General features: G+C 45.4%; 1 long non-coding RNA gene and 1 pseudogene across 1 annotated transcript in view, besides 3 other annotated features; both read right to left on the minus strand.

Moving 5' to 3' along the window:
• LINC01509 (long intergenic non-protein coding RNA 1509) overlaps nt 1-19483 on the minus strand; it is a 46302-nt gene extending 26819 nt beyond the window's left edge. The window contains exons 1-3 of the long non-coding RNA NR_121581.1: nt 19366-19483; nt 7710-7871; nt 1276-1359 (exon numbers count right to left, since the gene is read on the minus strand). This is a non-coding gene — a long non-coding RNA (long intergenic non-protein coding RNA 1509). The remainder of the gene's footprint in view (nt 1-1275; nt 1360-7709; nt 7872-19365) is intronic.
• Nucleotides 10840-11336, minus strand: HMGN2P32 (high mobility group nucleosomal binding domain 2 pseudogene 32; annotated as a pseudogene).
• Nucleotides 12864-13365: an enhancer, noted in NCBI's record as "NANOG-H3K27ac hESC enhancer chr9:110222247-110222748 (GRCh37/hg19 assembly coordinates)". NCBI's record gives its function as "activates a minimal SCP1, AML or CMV promoter by ChIP-STARR-seq in naive H9 embryonic stem cells {active_cell/tissue: H9 hESC(naive)}" and the evidence as "EXISTENCE:reporter gene assay evidence [ECO:0000049][PMID:30033119]".
• Nucleotides 18570-18749: a silencer, noted in NCBI's record as "silent region_20157". NCBI's record gives its function as "represses an Ori minimal core promoter by ATAC-STARR-seq in GM12878 lymphoblastoid cells {active_cell/tissue: GM12878}" and the evidence as "EXISTENCE:reporter gene assay evidence [ECO:0000049][PMID:35858748]".
• Nucleotides 19252-19751: an enhancer, noted in NCBI's record as "H3K4me1 hESC enhancer chr9:110228635-110229134 (GRCh37/hg19 assembly coordinates)". NCBI's record gives its function as "activates a minimal SCP1, AML or CMV promoter by ChIP-STARR-seq in primed H9 embryonic stem cells {active_cell/tissue: H9 hESC(primed)}" and the evidence as "EXISTENCE:reporter gene assay evidence [ECO:0000049][PMID:30033119]".

Below are 24347 nucleotides of genomic sequence, written 5' to 3' on the forward strand. Positions count from 1 at the left end.
GGCCAGAGAAAGCCAGGACTTCTTTCCTGTGGCTCAGGCTGTACTTTGAAGATCTAGACCTCAATTATCAGGAAGCCTTGAGGAGGCAGATTTCTAACCTAGAACGAGGCTTTGAATCAGAAAACCATCATCCTGACACCTACATGACTGTGGGCAAGTCATATGACTACCTGTGGCCTCAAGTATGCTGTCTGTGAACTGGACGCATACCAAGGCACCTGGGCGGGACCTGGAGGTTGTGGGCTCCAAGTCTCTTTGCCCACTTCCCTCTAGATCAGGATTTCTCAACCTTGGCCCTATTGACATTTGAGGCCAGATAATTCCTTGCTGTGGGGAGCTGTCTTGTGTGATGTAGCATGTTTAGCCGCATCCCTAATCTCTACCTATTACATGCCAGTAGCATCCTCCAAGCTATGACAACCAAAAATGTCTCCAGACATTGCCAAATGCCCCTGGAGGAGGAGGAGGATGACACCCAGACTTGTCTTTAGAGAAGTAGAGTGAGTGCTGGTGGTGTCGGCCGTGTTGGCTGAAGCTGGACCTAGGAGAGCAGAAGGCTTCCAGCAGATGAACCAGTGCCACCCAATTTCAGAACCCCAGATGGGAAAGGAATAGTCAATGAAGGAGTTTTTATCACTGCCTTTGTCACTGAAAGTGTGACTCATTGATTCCCTAACATTCATTGACTATCGATTGTATCATTTGATGTGCAAGGAAAGACATCTCAAAGAGGGTCACATGCTTCCAGCACTCAAAAGCATGACCCATTGCTTCCCTGCTTGGGCCTGTCTTTCGTGGGAAGGCAGCCAGCAGCAGGAGAACAGACCCTTGTTTGGAGTTTAGAACAACTATGGGAATAATCAGAACAATGAGCCCACATGGCAGCAGATTCACACACAGTTTCCAGGTCCTAGAACCTGGTCAACCTGTTCTTTGACTCATAAAAACAATTATGATAATAGCATCACTTGAGCATCTACTGTGTACATTGCACACACTTATCTAATCCACACAATTCATTATCCCTATTTGATACATGAGGAAATTGAAGCTCTGTGGGATTGGCCAACTTGCACAACATTGCACAGCTATGAAATAGAAGGCAACCAGTCAAAAGTGTAGACAGCTGACTTTAGCCCAGGACTACCTGATTCCAAGTCCTTTGTTATTTCTCTTATGTCAGGCTACAAATTCTCCTTCCTGGTGGTATTGTGAGGAGGAAAGACAGCTGTAAATGTGCTAGGGTTTGAAGTACCACAGTCATTGGCTCCTTACCTTTTGTGTTGTTGTCAGAGCTTCAAGCCACATGCACATAAAATTGCAGAGTGCTACTTTTGATATTTTTAGTCTTGTCTAAAGCTGAGAAACAAAACCACAGAAATCTAGCTTAGTGAATTATTATGAGGCACATCTCTTTTTAATCACCACTCCAATCAGGAAATAGAACTTTGGCCAGGCACAGCGGCTAATGCCTGTAATCCCAGTACTTTGAAAGGTTGAGGCAGAAGGATCGCCTGAGGCCTCGTGTTTGAGACCAGCCTGAGCAAGGTAGCTAGACCCATCTCTAATTTAGAAAGGAAGGGAAGGAGGGAAGGAAGGGAGGGAGGGAGGGAGGGAGGGAGGGAATTTACTAGTCATCCCAGTAACCATCTACCAACCCCATCCCAATCATGGCTCCAATCCTCCTCCAAAAGTAACTGTTGTTCTCACTTTTATTTATTTTGTCATTTTATTTTATGTTTTGAGACAGGGTCTCACCCTCTAACCCAGGCTGGAGTGTGGTGGTACAATCATGATTCACTGCAGCCTCAACCTCCTGGGCTCAAGCAATCCTCCTGCCTCAGCCTCCCATGTAGCCGGGACCACAGGCACATGCCACCATGCCCAGCTAGGTTCTCACTTCTTCAACACTCACTTTCTCGCATTCGTCATCCAGTTAGGCATCTCTAAATATAATAATAATTTTTCTTTTTTAAAAAATTTGATATGTCTCTTAAGTCTACTTAATCTATTGATTTTATTATTAAAACTATATATTTAAAGTATATTACGTAGGCTGGGCATGGTGGATCACACCTGTAATTCTAGCACTTTGGGAGGCTCAGGCGGGTGGATCACCTGAGGCCAGGAGTTCGAGACCAGCCTGGCCCAAGTGGCGAAACCCCGTCTCTACTAAAAATACAAAAATTAGCCAGGCGTGGTGGCGGGCACCTATAATCCCAGCTACTCGTGAGGCTGAAGCATGAGAATCGCTTGAGCCGAGGAGGTGGAAGCTGCAGTGAGCTGAGATTGCACCATTGCACGCCAGCCTGGGTGACAGAGTGAGACCCTGTCTCAAAAAAATGTAAAAAGATATAAATAAAGTATATAATATGATGATATATATGATATAGATATGATACACATATAAATGTGAACTAATTACTACTGTCATGAAAATATCCTATCCATCATCTTTCTTTTTTTTTTTTTTTTTTTTTGAGATGGAGTCTTGCTCTGTCACCAGGCTGGAGTGCAGTGGGGCGATCCTGGCTCACTGCAACCTCCGCCTCCTGGATTCAAGTGATTCTCCTGCCTCAGCCTCCCAGTAGATGGGACTACAGGCGTGTGCCACCACACCCAGCTAATTTTTATATTTTTAGTAGAGACGGGGTTTCACCATGTTGGCCAGGATGATCTCGATCTCTTGACCTCGTGATCTCCCACCTCAGCCTCCCAAAGTGCTGGGATTACAGGAGTGAGCCACCTCGCCCAGCACTATCATCTTTCATAGTTATCTTTGTGAGTGTGTGTGTTTGGGTGTGTTGCATGCATGTGCGTGTGGTAGGAGCACCTAAAATTTACTTTTTAGCAAATTTTCAGTATATAATACAGTTTTATTTATTTATTTATTTAGAGACGGAGTCTCGCACCGTTGCCCAGGCTGGAGTGCAGTGGTGCAATCTGGGCTCACTGCAACCTCCACCTCCCAGGTTCCAGCAATTCTCCTGTCTTAGCCTCCTGAGTAACTGGAATTACAGGCACATGCCACCACACCCAGCTAATTTTTAGTATTTTTAGTAGAGATGGGGTTTCGCCATGTTGGCCAGGCTCGTCTCGAACTCCTGACCTCAAGTGATCCACCCGCCTCAGCCTCCCAAAGTGCTGAGATTACAAGAATGAGCCACCGCGCTCGGCCTACGATACGATATTATTAACTATAGTCCTCATGAAGCATATTAGAGCTCTAGACTTAGTACATAACTGCAAGTTCATACCATTTGACCCACTTCTGCCTTTTTCTTCCCCTCCCTGCTCCTGGTAACCACCATGTTCTACTCTGTTTTTATGTATTTGACTTTTTTTCTTTTTTTTGAGATGGAGTCTCACTCTGTCATAGGCACGCACCATCACGCCTGGCTAATGTTTGTATTTTTAGTAGAGATGGGTTTTCACCATGTTGGCCAGGGTGGTCTCGAACTTCTGACCTCAAGTGATCCACCCGCCTCGGCCTCCCAAAGTGCTGGGATTATGGGAGTGAGCCACCTAGCCTGGCCTGCATTTGACTTTTTTTTTTTTTTTTTTGTCTGATGGAGTTTCCCTCTTATTGCCCAGGCTGGAGTGCAATGATATGATCTCGGCTCACTGCAACCTCTGCCTCCCATGTCCAAGCGATTCTCCTGCCTCAGCCACCCCAGTAGCTGGGATTACAGGCGTGTGCCACCACACCTGGCTGGCATGTATTTGACTTTTTAAAAGATTTACTTATACTTGAGATCATGCAGTCTTTTTGTTATGCAGCCTGTCTTGTTTCACTTAGCATAATGTCCTCCAGGTTTACCTGTGTAGCAATCCCTCTGTTGGATATATACCAAAGGGAATGAAATCAGCACCTCATAGAGATATCTGCACTTCCATGTTCATTGCAACATTATTCACAATAGCCAAATTATAGAAACAACCTATGTGTCCAGTGATGGATGAATGAATAAAGAAATTGTGGTCCGCTAGGAGCGATGGTGGTGGCTCATACCTGTAATCCTAGCACTTTGGGAGGCTGAGGTGGGTGGATCACCTGAGGTCAGGAGTTTCAGACCAGCCTGACCAACATGGTAAAATCCTGTCTCTACTAAAAATACAAAAATTAGCTGGGGTGTGGGGGACGTGGTGGGTGGTGGCACATGCCTGTAATCCCCGTTACGTGGGAGGCTGAGGCAGTAGAATCGCTTGAACCAGGGAGGCAGAGGTTGCAGTGAGCCAAGGTCACACCATTGCACTCCAGCCTGGGCAACAAGAGTGAAACTCCATCTCAGGAAAAAAAGAAAAAAAGAAATTGTTTTATGTATATACACACACATACACACACACACATCTATACACACCTATACACACAATGGAATATTATTCAGCCTTTTAAAAGGAGAGCCTGCCATTTGCAACAACATAGATAAACCTGGAGGACATGATCCACACATTTTATATTTTTCTTAAAGTCCTCTGCAGATTGACCTTATGAAAATCTTATAAGAAGACATTTTCCCTCACATATTATTTGGTGGCTCAGTGATGAAGTTCACCTATTACATTTGATTCTGGAGAAAAAGAAAGTGCCTTTTTATATAAGACACTGATTTCTCATGGTCTGTGTCTTCATGTTTTCCCATCTTTCCACACTTTAATTTCTTCTGTGTCTTTAAATTCAGCCTTGTCTATTAGACAGATCATCTTATCATTTCCTACATGCTCAATCTTGTCTTATCTCAGTACTCCTTTAAGCAACTCATGCTATTACTAACCCTGGTTCCACCTGCCTTTCAGAGCCACGCTTTGGGAAAGCATTTTTATACTCATTCACTCTCCTTCTTTATCTTCTCTTCTACCTTGGATCGTAGACAGCTGGCTTCCATCCTCACCCTCCAGGGAACCCACTCCAGCATGTTCACCTACAACCTCCATTCAGCTAAATTTATGTGAAACAAGTTTGGCCATGAGGACCCCTCAACAATCAAGGGGGAGGGACACACGAGGGTTATTGATACAGGGTCCCACATCATGAATGGTCTTAAACCTAGGCTTCTGACATCATCTCCCAATGAGAGTACATGTGTAGTCATTGCAGTTGATGTGTTTGTATGTTCAGGGCATTAATTTGTGAAATATAATATAATAGTTCTCCCCCTTTTGGCACTACCTCCCTCTAAAAACAAAAAACAAAAAAACAGGGCCCTCAAAAATGAAAATGGCCCTAGTCTCACTCAGTCTCCAAGAAGCCCTGTAGGACCAGTTTGGGAGGCATGGCTGGGGTGACACTGGGGGACAGCATAGAGCAATACAGGCCCAGGGTAAGACCTCAGTCCCAGCTGGGCACAGTGGCTCATGCCTGTAATACCAGCACTTTGGTAGGTCAAGGCAGACGGATCACTAGACGTGAGGAGTTCGAGATCAGTCTGGCCAACATGATGAAACAACATCTCTATTAAAAATATAAATATTAGCCGGTCATAATGGTGCATGCCTGTAATCACAGCTGCTCAGGTGGCTGAGGCAGGAGAATTGCTTGAACCCAGGAGGTGGCAGTGAGTCATCTCACCACTGTACTCCAGCCTGGGCAACAGTGAGGCTATGTCTCAAAAAAACAAAATAGATCCCAGTCTCAGATCCATAGATCCCTCTTTCCCCTCTGAACTTCCACTTTTTACCTCTCACCTCACTGGGTTATTGTGAAGATCCAAACTACAGTGAAGTCACGTATGCACAAGAACTTTACAAAGGCCAGCTATTACTCAGAAAAGTCACCCAGGATCCCTAGCAGTGTTTTTTCCTTAAATGAATCAGAATAGAATAAATCAGAAATTCTCAGGGGGCACCGCCCATAGAAAGGGTGAGAGTATTGTTTCTGGGTTTGTTTGTTTGTTTGTTTGTTTCTGATATGGAGTCTCACTTTGTTGCCCAGGCTGGAGTGCAGTGGCACGATCTCAGCTCACTGCAACCTTCGCCTCCCAGATTCAAGCAATTCTCCTGCCTCAGCTTCCCAAGTAGCTGGGATTACAGGCATGTGCCACCACGTCCATCTAATTTTTGTATTTTTAATACAGACGGGGTTTCACCATGCTGACCAGGCTGGTCTCAAACTCCTGACTTCATGATCCGCCTGCCTCAGCCTCCCGAAAGTGCTGGGATTAGAGGCAGGAGCCACGGCTTGAGAGTATTGTTGTATAGAATTTATTGCAGTTATATATATACATGGACAGATATATGTTTATACTAGTGGTGATATAAAATGTATTTCTTACTATAGGCCACATTTTTCTAATGTTTGAAAAACAGTGCATGATAGGCATCTTTACATACATCTCCCTTGAGAATGGGTCTTGTTATCTTCATTTACAAATGAACACATTGAGGCTCAGAGAAGATAAGTGACCAGGGATATATAAGCCAGGTTTAGACCTAAGGTCTTGAAAACCTACTAAAATGTCTAAGTTTATGAATCACCTGGGGGCATCTTTTAAATACTGATTTCTGGCTCTCTGCGGAGGTTCTGATGGGGTGAGGGAGGTAGTTATGAATGTGCATTTTTAATATTGCCTTCAGGCAATCTGAGTGCTGGTGATCCTGCCTGCCACACTGTACGTCACTAGTTTGGAGCAGTGGTCCCTCAAGAGCTTTGCTTGACCTACTGTGGGGCTGGAGAAAAGCATTTAAACTCCAGTTTCTACTCGTGTTCGTGCCATTCTTTCATAATATCTATGTGCCTATAATCTACATATTATACAATTGTACATATATAAACACCAATATGGGCATATAATGTATGTCTGGCCCCATGAACACCTGGCTTTATACAAGTGCACATATGAGCACACGATACAGACACATTATAGGCATATAATTGGGCAATGTTATATTATCAGTTTTCACTGGTTGGGAAACAACGAGGAATAGGAAGGAGATTGCTGCTCTGAGCTACCGTCACCACCACGTGAAGGCTGTTTCAGACAGACAATTGTTCTTGGTTGCTCATCTGAGGAGGTCATAGGCAGTTCCAGACCTTGTAGGGAGTATTGTGTACACAAAATACAATGAGAGGAGGCCAAGGCAGGCAGATCACCTGAGCTCAGGAGTTCGAGACAAGCCTGGGCAACATGGTAAAACCCCGTCTCTACAAAAAATACAAAATTAGCCAGATGTGGTGGCGCAAACCTGTAATCCCAGCTATGTGGGAGGCTGAGGCAGGAGAATTGCTTGAATCTGGGAGATGGAGGTTGCGGTGAGTTAAGATCGCACCACTGCACTCTAGCCTGGGCAACAAGAGCAAAACTCCATCTCAAAAAAAAAACATAAATAAAAAATAAGAGCTCTGGTGGCTGGGCATGGCGGCTCACACCTAAAATCCCAGCACTTTGGGAGGCTGAGGCAGGTGATTGCTTGAGGCCAGGAGTTTGAGAGCAGCCTGGCCAACATGGTGAAATCCCACCTCTGCTAAAAATACAAAAATCAGCTGGGCATGGTGGCGCACACTTGTAGCCCCAGCTACTCGGGAGGCTGAGGCAGGAGAATTGCTTGAACCTGGGAGGTGGAGGTTGCAGTGAGCAGAGATGGTGCCACTGCACTCCATCCCGGGCAACAGAGTGAAACTCCATCTCAAAAAAAAAAAAGCTTTTGGTGAGGGGACCTGAACGGACAGGGTGTTGTCTCTGTCACACTGAAGAAACCAGCTCCCCTCTTACCTCAATTGTATGGTCCTTTCTGATCCAAACAAGATTAAGATGGCCCATTCATCACTTGTCAAGAGGAGGTCTGAAATCCTAGGAAGGGGGAACTTGGAATCAATCATTCAGTCAACGCTTGTACAGATCATTCTGAAAATGCCCAGTGAGGTTGCAGGAAACCTAGGAGGAGACAAAACCATATAAGTTGTGGCAATATAACAATGTTTGGGGAGAAAAGATGTAAAAACAGCCAGGCGTAGTGGCTCACGCCTATAATCCCAGCACTTTGGGAGGCTGAGGTGGGCAGATCATGAGGTCAAGAGATCGAGACCATTCTGGCCAATGTGGTGAAACCCCGTCTCTACCAAAAATACAAAAATTAGCCGGGTGTGGTGGTGCGCACCTGTAGTCCCAGCTACTCAGGCGGCTGAGGCAAGAGAATCGCTTGAACCCAGGAGGCGGAGGTTGCGGTGAGGCGAGATCACGCCACTGCACTCCTACCTGGCGACAGAGCGAGACTCTGTCTCAAAAAAAAAAAAAAGGAAGAAAGAAAGAAACAATATGAAAAGGTAAATACGGTAATAAATGCCAGCATATTTCTTTCCTTATGTTTATATGATTTTGAAACACATTGTTAATAAAACACCTGGGGGTTTCCTTTTAACTGCAGATACAGTCTGTGGAGTCCATGCTGAAAGCACACAAAGCCTGTACTGTGGCTGAAATTGATTTCGTTTTAATCTTCTGTAATGATGCCATTATTTTTACAGCTGCTTCTACAACCCCATACATGATTTACATGCAAGTGCTGGCCTCTCTTTTTATATAGGTATGTACTGTCCCCTGTAAACTGTAAATTCCCCCAGGGCAGGGCCCATGTTGGCACAGGGTTGGGGGTGGGGGAGAAAAGAGCACAGGGTTTGGAGACTGGTGTCTTGAGACTCAAAGCCTGGCTTTGACATATATTGGCTGGGCAACCTTGAGCAAGCTATTTAATGTGTGAGCCCCTAGAGGTTAATTAAACCTTATCTAGTAACTACTCGTGGCTGAAATGAAAGATATGGCATAAAAGCCTGTCAAGTGATTGGCGGCCTGAATAGGATTTGCATATTCCTCGGAACTCAGTGTTTTATAATGAAGTATTTGCTTGGGAACTTTTGCTCCAGAACCTCATCTATTTGCTTTATAGTGCTCATGTTAGTTGAGGAAGGATTAACAAGAAAGTCGTGACTTCCTTGTCCCTTACTAGGTTTTTGTTTGTTTTTCGTTTTGTTTTGTTATGCTTTCAGACTGTGTCCAGCTTTATTACAGAAACTTTCTATAAACAACCATGGTATTTCAGACAGGACATGGGTAGACAATCGTTAACAGTATATAACAACCTTCAAACTCCTTTCTTCAATGGGCTGCCAAAAATCAGGAAGCCACTATAAAGCCCGATGAAGTCTTCAACTGATGCCCTGAACAGGGAAAGTTTAGAGTGAGGGTTGGCATTTCACATTTAGCATGTTGTTTAACAACTTTTCACGAGCCAATCCTGATTTTCAGGAAGTGAAATGAAAATGGCAGAATTTATCTGAAGAGCCACAAGCTAGAGATGGAACCATGGTTCTTTTGAGGGGTGCCATCTCAGTGGCATCACTGGAAAGTCCAGATTGCCTGACACACTGGCAACCAATGACTCAGGGTAAGGTCCCAACAGATGTCTGGGCTTAAGGGAGCTAAGTCTATGCTGAAAGATGGAAAGGGAGAAGAGGACATAAAAATGAATTTGTTTTTTCATACCACAAGGCTTTTGTGCCAAGGTGGCCAAGTGTGTCAAAGTCAGGGAGTCCCTCCTCCTGGGAGCCAAGAGGAACTCTCTCAAACCTAGAAGGGAAATGTGTTTTCCCCACATCAATCCAGCTTCAGAGACATTCTATCAGTGACATATGCCCCGTCCCCCCAAAACAACAATGAAGTGTTCCATGTGCTCACAGCATAGCTTCAAAAAAAAAAAAAAAAAAAGGCCGGGCATGGTGGCTCACAGCTGTAATCCCAGCACTTTGGGAGGCCGAGGCAGGTGGATCAGCTGAGGTCAGGAGTTCAAGACCAGCCTGGGTAACCTGGTGAAACCCGTCTCTATTGAAAATACAAAAAACTTAGCAGGACGAGGTAGTGGGCACCTATAATCCCAGCTACTCGGGAGGCTGAGGCAGGAGAATCACTTGAACCCGGGAGGCGGAGGTTGCAGTGAGCCAGGATTGCGCCGTTGCACTCCAGCCTGGGTGATAGAGCAAGACTCTGCCTCAAAAAAAAAAAAAAAAAGTAAGGTTGGCTGGGAGTGGTGGCTTACGCCTGTAATCCCAGCACTTTGGGAGGCCAAGGCGGGTGAACCACAAGGTCAGGGGTTTGAGACCAGCCTGGTCAACATGGTGAAACCCCATCCCTACTAAAAATACAAAAAATTAGCTGAACGGAGTGGCGGGCACCTGTAATCCCAGCCACTTGGGAGGCCGAGGCAGGAGAATCGCTTGAACCTGGGAGGTGGAGGCTGCAGTGAGCCGAGATCATGCCACTGCACTCCAGCCGGGCGACAGAGTGAGACTCCGTCTCAAAAAAGAAAAAGAAAAAAAAAGGAAAACAAAATTCTGCATTTTTATAAAACTTGATAAAAATAGTATTTCAAAGGGCTGGGCGCGGTGGCTCACGCCTGTAATCCTAGCATTTTGGGAGGCCAAGGTGGGCGAATCATGAGGTCAGGAGATCGAGACCATCCTGGCTAATATGGTGAAACCCCGTCTCTACTAAAAATACAAAAAATTTAGCCAGGTGTGGTGGGCGCCTGTAGTCCCAGCTACTCGGGAGGCTGAGGCAGGAGAATGGCTTGAACCCAGGAGGCGGAGCTTGCAGTGAGCCAAAATCGTGCCACTGCACTCCAGCCTGGGCAAATACTTCATTATAAAACACTGAGTTCCGAGGAGTATGCAAATCCTATTCAGGCCGCCAATCACTTGACAGACTTTTATGCCGTATCTTTCATTTCAGTCACGAATAGTTACTAGATAAGGTTTAATTAACCTCTAAGGGCTCACACATTAAATAGCTTGCTCAAGGTTGCCCAGCCAGTATATGTGAGAGCCAGGCTTTGAGTCTAGAGACATCTGTCTCAAAAAAAAAAAAAAAACAAAAAAACAAAAAAAATAGTATTTCAAACTGTACAGTCAGCAGAAGTACACAAGTTATCAAAAATACAGACAGTACACTTGGCGTCTCTAGCACCTTCAGTTTTCTGTGCCTGGTCTGATTTGGCATCTCCATTTTCTGCAGGGTTATTCCCCTCCTTGCCAGCATCAGCTTTTCCCTTTATCCTTTGGGTACCTTCTCTCCCTTCTTTGCAGGGGCCTTTTTAAGCTTGGGCTCTGGCTTTGGAGGAGCAGGTTTAGCAGACAACTTCGTGGATTTTCTCTGTGGTTCGTCCTTAACTTTGGATTTATCTCCTTTAGCATCCCCTTCACCCTTTCTCTTGGGCATGGTGGTGACAATGGCAGCAGGATGTGGGTGCTGGGTATGGGATGCAAGGGCACAGGGCTTTGGTCGGTCCAGGGGTTGTTCTTGCCTCTTCTTCTTCACACTGCTCCTAGGTTTTTATTTTTAAATTTTTATTTGGAAATAATTTTTAACTTGCAAAAGCACAAATAGTATAAGTCACCCATATATCCTTTACCCAGATTCACCTATTGCTAAGATTGTACTCTGTTTGAGGGTAAGTTACAGGCATCATGGCCTTTCACCCCTAAATACTTCAGTGTGCATTTACAAAAGATAGGAATATCCAACTTCATTCAACTTCACTTATCATTTCATACATTTACATTGATATGGGACTTTTGTCTTACGTACCATCCATATTCCAAATTTGTCAGTCAATTTATATTAAGTTTTGACTGTCTGGAACTCATCTCAACGTGCCAGATGTGGCCCCTTGGAACTTTCAACTTGCAGCCATGGGGAGTGAAATTAATATGGATTCTTTTCCACGTTCAGGGCAAGGAATTGAAATAGAATAGAAGTATAATGACAAATTTTTTTGAGGTCCCCCAAGTTATAGCAAAGAGCATGCTTGGTGCTCTTAAAGACCTAGATCAATTCTTTTAAATGACTAGTGAAGGAATGGGGGAACTAAGGTGTAAACAGGGGAAGGGACTTGCCTTAGACTCTAAGACCATGGGCCAGTGAGTAGATGAGCTAAAGCTGGAAATCATCAAGCATCAGAGGCCCTAGGAACTTCACTCCAACAATCTCTTCTTAGAGATGACATTATCAGCATTATTTAGGAACTGTACCTCGGCTTGTACTCCTTGTCCCAATACCCTGGAAATGTGACCTAGTTAATAATAATGATAAAAATAGCTAGTGTTTATGAAATGCTTCCTATGAGGTAGACACTGTTTTAAACACTTATAAGCAGTATCCCATTTAATTCTTATTAATGATCTTAACTTTAACAAGCCCTATTGTCTTCATTTTACAGATGATGACACTGAGGCTTTGCTAGGTTAAATAATCTAAACCAAAGTCTCACCCTTAACCTTGGCTTTATCTCCACTTGAGTCTAGGCTTCCAGTTTCAAATTTATTTAACCATAGCACCATGAAGAGGGGAGTAAGCACCATGGATCTTTGGAGGCCAGTGTTTGGGAGGAGCTGGAAAGGGTCAAGTAGGGCTTCTCAAATGTACATCAAAACTCATATTCATAACATGTAAGTGTGCAGAGACACTTCCCATTGGTTGCTTCCTTGTGTCCTTCCAACCGCCCATTTAAAAAAGGGTAAACATAAGGTTCAGAGTGGTTCAAGCTGGGCACAGTGGCTCATGCCTGTAATCCCAGCACTTTGGGAGGCCGAAGAGGGCAGATCACCTGAGGCCAGGAGTTCGAGACCAGCCTGGCCAACATGATGAAACCCCGTCTCTACTAAAAAAAATTAGCCATACGTGGTGGCATGCACCTGTAATCCCAGCTACTCGGGAGACTGAGTTGGGAGAATTGCTTGAACCTGGGAGGTAGAGGCTGCAGTAAGCTGAGATCGTGCCACCGCACTCCAACCTGGGTGACAGAGCAAGACTTCATCTAAAAAAAAAAAAAAAAAAAAGGTTCAAAGGTTCAGTGAGTTCCACAAGGTCCCATGGCTAATCTGTGACTGAGCAGAGATTTGACCTAAGTCTGCCGTTTTCTTATTCTGTCACCAAAGCAAGCAGATGATATGTGATGAGTTATGACATTACATATTTAGAGACTTCAGGATTCATGTTGTAAATAAAGTCATAATAGCTCTGTTATCTAAGCAAACTTCAAAGCCACCTTGCTGGTTTAAGCACTACTTGCTAATTGGCAGAGTAGAGTCTCTGGGTCAATGCCCCATAGAGCTGAAGACCCAATTCTGTCTTATCTCACCTAGAGTCTGAGGGAATCAACATAGTTAGAATGTCTCCGGCAGCTAAGAACAAACAAAAGGGGTGGGACTCTCAGAGGCCTACATGTAAATCTCAACAGCCAGCTCACAAATCTCAGCAACTGGCCTGTGGGTCTCAGCAGCTGATATGAATATTAGCAGCCAGCACAGATATCTACAGCCAGAGCGGATCTCAGCAGCCAGCTCAGCTCTGTGGGACTGGGAGAAAGCACACAGTCCTGAGACTTCTCTTTCAGGAGGGAGAGCTTGCACCCAACAACCAGCATCTCTGTGCATAACCCCAGGGAAAAAAATTGGACAGCTCTCAGCACCTGGCAGAGCACTGCAGGATCAGGAGGAGGCGCACAATCCTGAGACTTCTCCAGCAGGAGACAGAGAGAGAGGAGTAAAGTAGGCACACACACAGAAAAGATCTGAGAGATTCCCAGAATCTCTAACTGGATGGATTGGTGAAGGTCTATCCCTGCCTAATGTACAAAGACTGAAAGAGGTGGTTACTTCTTCAGATGTGCAGACAGGAATGCAAAACTACAAGGAACACAAAGAATCAGGGAAATATGACATCACCAAAGGAATGATATAAATCTCCAGCAACCAACCCTAAAGAAATGGAGATCTGTGAATTGTCTGACAAATATTCAAAATAATTTTTTTTTTTTTGAGACGGAGTCTGGCTTTGTCACCCAGGCTGGAGTGCAGTGACAGGATCTCAGCTCACTGCAATCTCTGCCTCCTGGGTTCAAGCGATTCTCCTGCTTCAGCTTCCCGAGTAGCTGGGATTACAGGCATGCGCCACCACGTCCAGCTAATTTTTGTATTTTTAGTAGAGACAAAGTTTCACCATTTTGGCCAGGCTGGTCTCGAACTCCTGACCTCAAGTGATCCACCTGCCTCGGCCTCCAAAAGTGCTGGGATTACAGGTGTAAGCCACCACGTCTGGCTCAAAATAATCATCTTAAAGCAGCTCAGTGAGCTACAAGAGAACGTAGATAGAACACTAAATAATACCATGAAAGCAATACAAAACTAAAATGAAAAAAGTCAACCAAAAGACAGAAGCCATAAAAAAGTAGAAATGCTGAGGCTCAAGGAAAAAGAAAAGAAAAGAAAACTATTTATCTGATAAAGAGCTAGTTTCACTTACGCAAGTGAAATAAACCAGCCACAGAAAGGCACATTTTACATGATCTCAATTATACGAGGTATCTAAAATAGTTAAACTCATAAAAGCATAGAGTAAAATGGTGGTTGTAAGGGGTTGGAGGAAGAAAGAAATGGGGAATTGTTGCTTAATGGGTATAAAATTTTTGTTACCCAAGATGAGTAAGTTCTAGAGAACTGTTGTATAACATAGCGCCTGCAGTTAACAATATGGCATTGTGCACTTAAAAATTTGTTAAGATCTCATGTTAAGATTTCATGTTAAGTCCACAAACTACACACACAGAAAGGGATACAAGAAAACATTTTGAGAGATGGATATGTTTATTACTTTGATTGTGGTAATGAAATCATGGGTATATCTAAACTCATCAGTTTGTATACATTAAATATACAATCTAGATGTACATATATCTCAATAAAGCTAATAAAGCAAAAAACAAAAAATAAAACTGTTTATTGGGCTGTGCGTGGTGGCTCATGCCTGTAATCTCAGCACTTTGGGAGGTGGGAGGATCGCTTGAGCTCAGGAGTTCAAGACCAGCCTGGTCAACATAAACTTTGAATGTAATGTGGTGGGAAGAGAAGGATCAGATCTAAATTTGAATGCTGGCTGTGCTGTGAATCAGCAAATCTCTTCCCCTCTCAGAGCCTCAGTTTCTTCATGTGAAAAAGGGGCTAATGCAAGCCCTACCTATGTAAGAGCCTGTTTTGGCTCAGGCTTCCAACAACTGTTTCTCACCCATGCTTTTCATGGCTTGTCCTCAGAAGTTCCCCACAAAGGGGTCCTATGGTTGTTCCCACTTTACAAATGAGGTGACTACTAGACACATTTATATAGTTGTCTCTCCTATCAGACTGCGGACCATTTGGTGACAGAGATTATATCATATCCCTTCGCGTGTTTCCAAACACAGAAATTAGCATACTGTAATTAGCAAATGCTTAGTAAAGAGCTTTTTTAAAAACACACACAGGCTGGGCACTGTGGCTCACGCCTGTAATCCCAGCACTTTGGGAGGCCAAGGCGGGTGGATCATGAGGTCAGGAGTTCAAGACCAGCCTGGCCAAGATGGTGAAACCCGGTCTCTACTAAAAAAAAAAACAAAAGTTAGCCAGGTGTGGTGGTGGACACCTATAATCCCAGCTACTCAGGAGGCTGAGGCAGAGAATTGTTTGAACCCGGAGGCAGAGGTTACAGTGAGCCGAGATCATGCCACTACACTCTAGCCTGGGCAACAGAACGAGACTCCATCTTAAAAACAAACAAAAAACAGACACACACACACACACACACACACACACACACACACAATATGTATCACACAAATAAAATATTACATTTTCAACTGCCTGGCATTTACCAGTTTGAAAGTGGAGCCGACTGCTTTACGCCAGAGGATGATAAACCCTCTCATTTTTAGTTTGGCTTCTAAGTATGCTCATCACCTGATAGTAACTTATTTTTGCTTCCTGTGAGTCAGAGAGCAAAAGGCACTGTCTCCAAGCCACCAGGGCAACCTTTAAACAAACGGCCCCATAATGAATAGTTTTGGTAAAGTAACAGCCTGCTGCATGCCTTGTCATAATATGTAAACACTCTCTAATTTGTTCAATGTTCTGTATTAATAAAGTTTGTGTCCTATCATTTCCAAAGAGTCTCAAAGAACGCTTGCTCAGATGGCCGGTGAAAAGTCCCACTTTGTCATACCTAGGAAAGCAGCATCTTTTTTTAATTTTATTTTTAAATAAATAGGCTGAGCTTGGTGGCTCTTGCCTATAATCCCAGCACTTTGGGAGGCCGAGGTGGGTAGATCACGAGTTTAGGAGATCAAGACCATCCTGGCCAACGTGGTGAAACCCTGTCTCTACTAAAAATGCAAAAATTAGCTGGGTGTGGTGGCATCATGTGCCTGTAGTCCCAGCTACTCAGGAGGCAGAGGCAGGAGAATCGCTTGAACCCGGGAAGTGGAGGTGGCAGTGAGCCGAGATCATGCCACTGCACTCCAGCCTGGGCGAGAGAGTGAGACTCTGTCTCAAAAAAAAAAAAAAAAAATTAAAATTAAAAAATAAATAAATAGAGATGGGGTCTTGCTATGTTGCCCAGACTGGTCATGAACTCCTGGGCTCAAGTGATTCTTTTGCTTCAGCCTCTCAAAATGCTGGGATTACAGGCATGAGCCACTGCACCCAACCCAGCATCTTTGTCTAACAGCATAGAGATAAGGCTGAATTGAGAGAAGACTCTGTGTTGTAGAGATGAGCACTGTGTCCAAAGTCGCTCTACCTCTTTGAGGTTCATCTGGAAAATGGGCTGACAATTAAATGGATATAATGTACACAGAAGTGCACTGTGACTGGTGAGGCCATGTAAATATTGAACACTGGTTTTCTGTATTTTTTTTTTCTCACTTAAAGTTCATCATATTAGAGATCTTGAGAAGTTACCAGTATGGGACCTCAAAGTTGCTGGTGCCTTATCACACAGTCCCAAAATTTGGATTGCTGGCATAAAATATTGTATTACGGCCGGGAGCAGTGGCTCACGCCTGTAATCCCAGCACTTTGGGGAGGCCAAGGCAGGCGGATCACCTGAGGTCAGGAGTTCAAGACCAGCCTGGCCAACATGGTGAAACCCCGTCTCTACCAGAAATTCAAAAACATTAGCTGAGCATAGTGGTGGGCGCCTGTAATCCTAGGTACTCAGGAGGCTGAGGCACAAGAGTCGCTTGAACCCGGGAGTGGGAGGTTGCAGTGAGCCAAGATCACACCACTGCACTCCAGCCTGAGCGACAGAGTGAGACTCTGTCTCCAAAAAAAAAAAAAAAAAAAGAAAAGAAAAAGAAAGATAAGTTTACTGGGCTGGGCGCAGTGGCTCACGCCTGTAATCCCAGCACTTTGGCAGGCTGAAGCAGGCGGATCACCTGAGGTCAGGAGTTTGAGACCAGCCTGGCCAACACGGCGAAACCTCGTCTCAACTAAAAATACAAAAATTAGCCAGGCATGGTGGTGGGTGCCTGTAGTCCCAGCTATCAGAAGGCTGAGGCAGGAGAGTCACTTGAACCTAGGAGGCGGAGGTTGCAGTGAGCCAGGATCATGCCACTGCCCTCCAGCCTGGGTGACAGAGTGAGACTCTGTATCAAAAAAAAAAAAAAAAAAAAAAAGAAAAGAAAGAAAAGAAAAGAAAGAAAGATAAGGTTACTGGAGTTCAGAGAGGTTGCAGGAGAAAGATAGCCAGGAACTAACTAGCAGGGCTGCCCTTGACAGTCAGGTCCTCTGACTGTGCATTCCATTGCACTATGTCTCAGGACTGTGTGTTATTATTTCTAACATCACCAATTTCCAGAAAGGATCCCAGGCATTTGTGGAAGGGGTGTCAAGGGGAGAGAAGGAAGAAGAATCCCAACAGTTAAAACCTCCCACAGCCCAGGCTTCCTGGTCACAGACAGGGCTGCAAAAGGCACCCTAGATGGGCTAGCTGCTGTGGGTGGGTGAGACTTGCATTGAGTACCTACTATGTGTTTCAGGAAAAAGGACCCTGAGCGTCGTGGCTCACTCCTGTAATTCTAGCACTTTCAGAAACTGAAGTGGGAGGCTTGGTTGAGGCCAGGAATTTGAGACCAACCTGGGCAATAAAGGGAGACCCTCTCTCTACAAAAATAAATTAAAAAGAAAAGAGCGCCGCCTGTGAGTAGGGTCAAATGTTATGCACTGCACCTGCTACGTGCTACAGATACAGGTGGTCTGGGACCCGCCAGCTGACAGTGGGAGTGAGTTTGCCCCGAATAAGGAGTCCTTCATTTCTCATCTTGTAGCAACTCTGTGGGTGGAGTATGATTACTCCCATTTTGCAATGAGAATATTTAGGTTCAAAAAGGAGACAGCTGAGGCCACAGCCATAGATGGAGTTAGTGGCACTGCAAGACTGGACCCCAGCTGGGTGCTCAGGTTCCTTTTCTACCTCAAAGGAAAGGTAGAAACCATCCCTATCTGCCACAGAGGAGCAGACTCCAGAGAAGCCAAAGCCTAGCCAGCGAGTAATCATAACGATGTCCGTCTTTTAGCGAGTATTTGTCATGTAGCAGACACGTTATTGCACATTCCCACTTAATGGTTACATGACCTTGTCCCGTCTATTTTCACGTTAGCCAAAGGGAAGCCTAGAAGTCCACAGTCCCCGGGAGCTGGAAGCCAGGCAGTGACAGCGCCAGCGTATTCTCCTTGACTTGATTGTAAATTTCACAACTTTGGTAGCTTCAACAGGGAGGAAGAGGAGGGGCGCCGGCTCCCTCCAGCAAAGGCGGCGCGGAGCGGGTAGCCAGGTCCGGAGCCGTCCTGTGCCGGGCCGTCCGGTGGGGGGCACTGCAGACCGCGCGGGCGCTGCGCCCGCCTCTAGCTCCGGGCGCAGAGGGGTGGCCACGCTCTCCTGAGTCCCTCGCGCCCCTAGCCGCGCCTGGGAGAGCGGACTGGCCTCCCAGAGAGGATGCGGGGGAAGCCGCACAGGGGCCCACTGGGACTGGGTAAGGGCGCGGGATGGGATCGGCTCTGGATATGGGTGCCCCCCGAGCCGCGCCCCACCCCGCGAGCGCTCCCATTTGCACCTCCACTTGAGCACGGAGCTTCAAGAACGAGCTATTCTGGGGTGCGGGTTCCGACACTAGGCCCCACACGGATCTGGGGACTGGTTTGGCTACGACCTGGCGGAAGGGGGGAAACCTGGCCTGAGAACGGAAACTGCGGGACGATCCGGCGGCGCACTTAAATCTGGCTCCGCTGCTTCCTCGCCCCGCCCCCGCTGTCACCTTCCTCTGCTTCTGCGCAGCGATTCCACACCCCACTCCACCCCATCCCACCCAGACCGCTCACCCGATTCTGACTTTGAACCCAAAAGCGATCAGGCGTGTTCTGGGCCCGGCCACAGCCAGCGGGCGCTCTGGCCCTCGCAGAAGCCGCCGCAAGCGGGCATCGCTGTCCCCAGGGAGGGGACCCCAGCTAGCACCAGTAGAGGTGCAGTCACCCTTTTTAAGGTTACTCGGAGGGTAGATGCGGCATCCACTGACCTTGATCTTTTCCCACAGTCACCTGGGACCCAGGCATATAATGTGGGCAGTTTAATGAGGTGTAAACGAAGTGCAAATGGCCTAGAAGCCCCTTGAATGTGAAGCAGGATGGAGGCTTTCTTTAGAAGGGGGGTTTTACTCACTCTGGGAATTCTGGTAACAGCAATAGTCTCTGATTGTTAATTGGTCATAATTACTTTGTTAGAAGTCTGTACACCATTCCAAGTTCTAAGGCGACGAGAAAGAATATTTCTGACATTTACAACGGGAGGGAAACAGCATATTACTTTCTCCATTAGGATATACATTAGCATATTGTTGAATTGAATTTTCCGCCTTCACTTTTTAATATATTTCCAATTTCCAACTACTCCCTGGAAAATTTTAAAAAGGGGCAGCAGAAGGATTGGTGATGTGCATGCCACAGATGGAGATGGAAAAACTGCCCAGAACATGTTGACATTTGTAAAAAAGTTAACATCCCCCCACACTTTAAAACTATGATATTAGGAATAGCATAATGGCAAAAGTTACTCGTACAACATCTGTTCCTTCCAATGGGAGGATTTCTTTCCTGCCAAGAATTTATGAATTTTCTATAGGAGCTTGGTTCTGTTCGGGGAAGAGGGAAGGAAGCCAGCCAGAGCAGCCCCTTGGCTTCAGGGAATGCAGGGATGCATTGCTCCTGGCTTTTAGATGGCTCCTGAAGCTGCTGATGGGGCCAAAGTCACCCTTCAGAAGGACTTGGCTGCAAACAAGAAAAATCTCCAACAGCCACCCATGGTTTAAAGTGACTAGGCCGTCACTAAGAAAGGTCAAGGCCATATGGCTTGAGGACAGAGATGAGTTGGTTATAACTCTCATTCGCAGAAGACCTAATCCTTTTTGGAGGGCAAAGGAAAGAGTTTATTATAGGGATAAAACCCAACCAACTCATATCAGTTCATTTCAAATGTTTCATTCATTTTCACATTGACCAGATAAGTGTTTGTTCACTCATCTCAGAAACTTCAATCTCTTCATCTACCATCAATTGTCTTTTACCCTTGCTCAATTGAATCTCTGGTGACTGGAAACTTTTATCTTTCTAAAAAAGCATGATGTGAGTGCTCAAAACAGCCATCTGGGTGAATAGGACGCTAAGTGGATTAGCAGTTGAAACATTAATGATTCACTTTTGACTCAAAGCAAGTTTATCTAAGCAGATTTCCAATGGTCTTCTCTTTTGCAATCAAAAGAACTTTCTGCTCTAGAGAAGCCTCTGTCCAGGAAGGGGGAGATTACCTTTTTGCACTTTAAAGTGGACCATTTTAAGTTCTTGATTTTTGTTGTTGTAGAGACAGGGTCTCACAAATTTGCCCAGGATGGCCTTGAACTCCTAGCCTTAAGTGATCCTCCTGCCTTGGCCTCCCTGGGATCACAGGAGTGAGCCATCATGCTTGGCTTTTTTTTTTTTTTTAAGACAGAGTCTCTCTGTCACCCAGGTTGGAGTGCAGTGGTGTGATTTCAGCTCATTTCAATGCCCCCACCCCCGACACCCCTACCCTGACCCCACCACTCCGATGCCAGGTTGAAGAGATTCTCCTGACTCAGCCTCCTGAGTAGCTGGGATTGCAGGTGCCTGCCACCACGCCCAGCTAATTTTTGTATTTTTAGTAGAGATGGGGTTTCACCATGTTGGCCAGGCTGGTCTCACACTCCTGACTTCAGATAATCTGCCTGCCTCAGCCTCCCAAAGTGCTGGGATTACAGGCATGAGCCACTGCACCCAGTCTTTTTTCTTTTTTTTTTTCCACTTGGAATATTTTTAACGAAACATGAAGAAAAACTTTCAATCCATTTAAGATCAGGAATCTAAATTGGGAGTCTGTCTGAGCCTACTCTGGCTCAGGAAGCTGCCTTATAAAAATAATAATAATGATAATAATCTAAGTTGTTCCCATTTGGCAGTGGTTGCGGGGTGGAGGAGGACAACAGCAACCAACATCAAGGGTTTGGTTCAGTCTTTCAAATCAACAATGTTTATTGAACACCTACTATGTGCCAGGTAGTTTCCTAGGCATTGTCCTCCTCCTCATTCTAGAGGGAAGCTAGAGAATAAATAGATCCAGTATATGTTACAGTTCAGGTAATCGTAAGTGTCATGAGACAACATCAAGCAGGTTAAAGAGATAACAACATGAGCAAGGTGGGAGGGCTCTTTTAGTATAGTCAGAAAAGGCTGCTTCAAGGAATTGGCATTTAAGTGGCCCTTCTAGAATTTTCTGAGTGCATATATACCCCCCAACACGTAAACATAAATGTATTTTACCAAGTTGGATAGTACTAAGCTCCTCCCCTTCACCCTGCCCCCTCCCCGTTAACTTCTGAACATTCTTCTGCATATAATGAGCAGGTGGCTCAAGAATATGGGTCTGAGTAGAATCAGGTTTAAATTCCAGCTCCATCACCTGCTTGTTTTGTGACTCAAGGCAGGTTACCTAAGTTCTTTTTGCCTCAGATGCCTCGTCCCTAAAATGAGAACAGTCATGACTACCTTATAGGATTATTGTCGGGACTGAATGAAAAAAAATGCCTGTGAAATGCTGAGTACAGAGACAGCATGGAGTAAACCTTCCTAAATGTTGGCCCTTATTTATTATTGTTTGTTTGTTTTTGGAGACAGAGTCTCGCTTTTGTCGCCCAGGCTGGAGTGCAATGGCATGATCTTGGCTCACTGCAACCTCCACCTCCCAGGTTCAAGCGATTCTCGTGCCTCAGCCTCCCGAGTAGCTGGGATTACAGGCACCCTGCCACTGCCCCCAGCTAATTTTTGTATTTTAAGTAGAGACGGGGTTTCACCATGTTGCCCAGGCTGGTCTCGAACTCCTGACCTCAGGTGATCTGCCCCACTTGGCCTCCCAAAGTGCTGGGATTACAGGCATGAGCCACCGCTCCGGGCCCTTATTATTGTTTACTAGATAATTTTAATGGCACATAGGAGTCCATTCTAGGGATGTCAGAACTTATATAACCAATGCCCTACTGTTGGGCAGAGAGAATGGGATATATATAAACCTAGCAGATGACGTGAATGAGCTAAAGGAGAAAAGTGAAACAACAACTAAACAAAATAAACAAAACCCAACACATGTAGAAAATAGTCCAAATCAACACATTTTCTAGGAGAGACTCATTTTTCTTCTGCTATCCCTGATGCTAAACATACCCACTCATAACAACCTGCCTGCTTACCTACCACTTGCGTCTTGGTTAGGAGACCCCCTAGGTCTTGCTTCTATGACCTCATGTGCAGGCGGAGGATGAGGGTCAGGAAGTGTTAGGTTGGAATGAAGTTCTGCAGTGGCCTAGCTGTTGGGAATGTGAGGTCTCATCTTCCTCATTTGTGCAAAGCAGCCTTGAAATAAAATATTCTTTGGGGTTGGGCACAGTGGCTCATGCCTGTAATCCCAGCACTTTGAGAGGCCAAGGCAAGTAGATCACTTGCAGACAGGAGTTCGAGACCAGCCTGGCCAACATGGTGAAACCCCAGCTCTACTAAAAATACAAAAATTAGCCAGGCATGGTGGCGGGCACTGTAATCTCAGATACTTGGGAGGCTAAGGCAGGAGAATCACTTGAACCTAGGGGGCAGAGTTTGCAGTGAGCCAAGATTGTGTCACTGTACTCCAGCCTGAGCGACACAGTGAGACTCCATCTCAAAAAGAGAAAAAAGAAATAAAATGATCTTCGGAACACCTTTCAGCTCTGTCACTCATTTGTTCCCAGACTATGCTCTGGTGCTCCAAAGAGCCTTCCTTGCTTCTGAGATCTGAAATGGCTCTCTGAGTCATTTGTTCATGCCCAGTGACATAGACCCAGATCTATTTTAGGCTGAGATCCTGTTTAGGGGAAAGAAATTATCTTTAAATATTGGTAGCATTAGGAGAATGTTGGCAAAGCATTTTGGAAGATGGGCAAAGAAGCAGGAGTGTTTCCCATGGGCCATGGCTGAGAATGTGGGCTCTAAGCACAATACTCGAATGTGCCGCTCCTGGGGTGAACTTCCTCTCCCGTGTTCTCCATTTAAGGAGGCCTCAGAGTGTGTGAACTTCAGAAAAGATTCTTTCTTCGGAGTACTTCCAATTGGCCCAACTATAAAAAGGGCTGCTAGTTTTTGTTTCAATAGATTGAATACATGCGTAAAATGCTTTGAAATCCGTGAGTGAAATACCCGGGAAGAAAGGCAATGACCTATTTACTCTTGGTGATTTTATAGCGGTTGTGGGGATGCTATCATGCAGAAAACTATTGCCTTTTCTTAAGTCACTATCCAAACTGGATCCTAGAAGAATGTGGTGTATTTTTAATCGAGCCACAGATAGGATTCCTTGCCTTGCCGGGCGCGGTGGCTCACGCCTGTAATCCCAGCACTTTGGGAGGCCAAGGCAGGCGGATCATGAGGTCAGGAGATTGAGACCATCCTGGCTAACACGGTGAAACCCCTTCTCTACTAAAAATATGAAAAAATTAGCCGGGCACGGTGGCTCACGCCTGTAATCCCAGCACTTTGGGAGGCCGAGGCGGGCGGATCACGAGGTCAGGAGATCGAGACCATCCTGGCTAACACAGTGAAACCCTGTCTCTACTAAAAATACAAAAAAATTAGCCAGGTGCTGTGGCGGGCGCCTGTAGTCCCAGCTACTCAGGAGACTGAGGCAGGAGAATGGCGTGAACCCGGGAGGCGGAGCTTGCAGTGAGCCGAGATCCCGCCACTGTACTCCAGCCGGGGCGACAGAGCAAGACTCCATCTCAAAAAAAAAAAAAAAAAAAAAAAAAAAAAAAAAAAAAGATTACTTGCCTGTATTAGAAAAGGGATGGGTTAGGCCAATCTTGCCCATATAGCTTCACGTGCACCAAATACAACCCTTGTTTAGAAGAAAAAATCAAACACACATCCCAAGGAGGTAAGGAGCAGATAAAGCAGAAGTTAGCTTTACTTT

Source organism: Homo sapiens, chromosome 9 (genome assembly GCF_000001405.40).
Source record: "Homo sapiens chromosome 9, GRCh38.p14 Primary Assembly".
NCBI classification, from domain to species: Eukaryota; Metazoa; Chordata; class Mammalia; order Primates; family Hominidae; genus Homo; species Homo sapiens.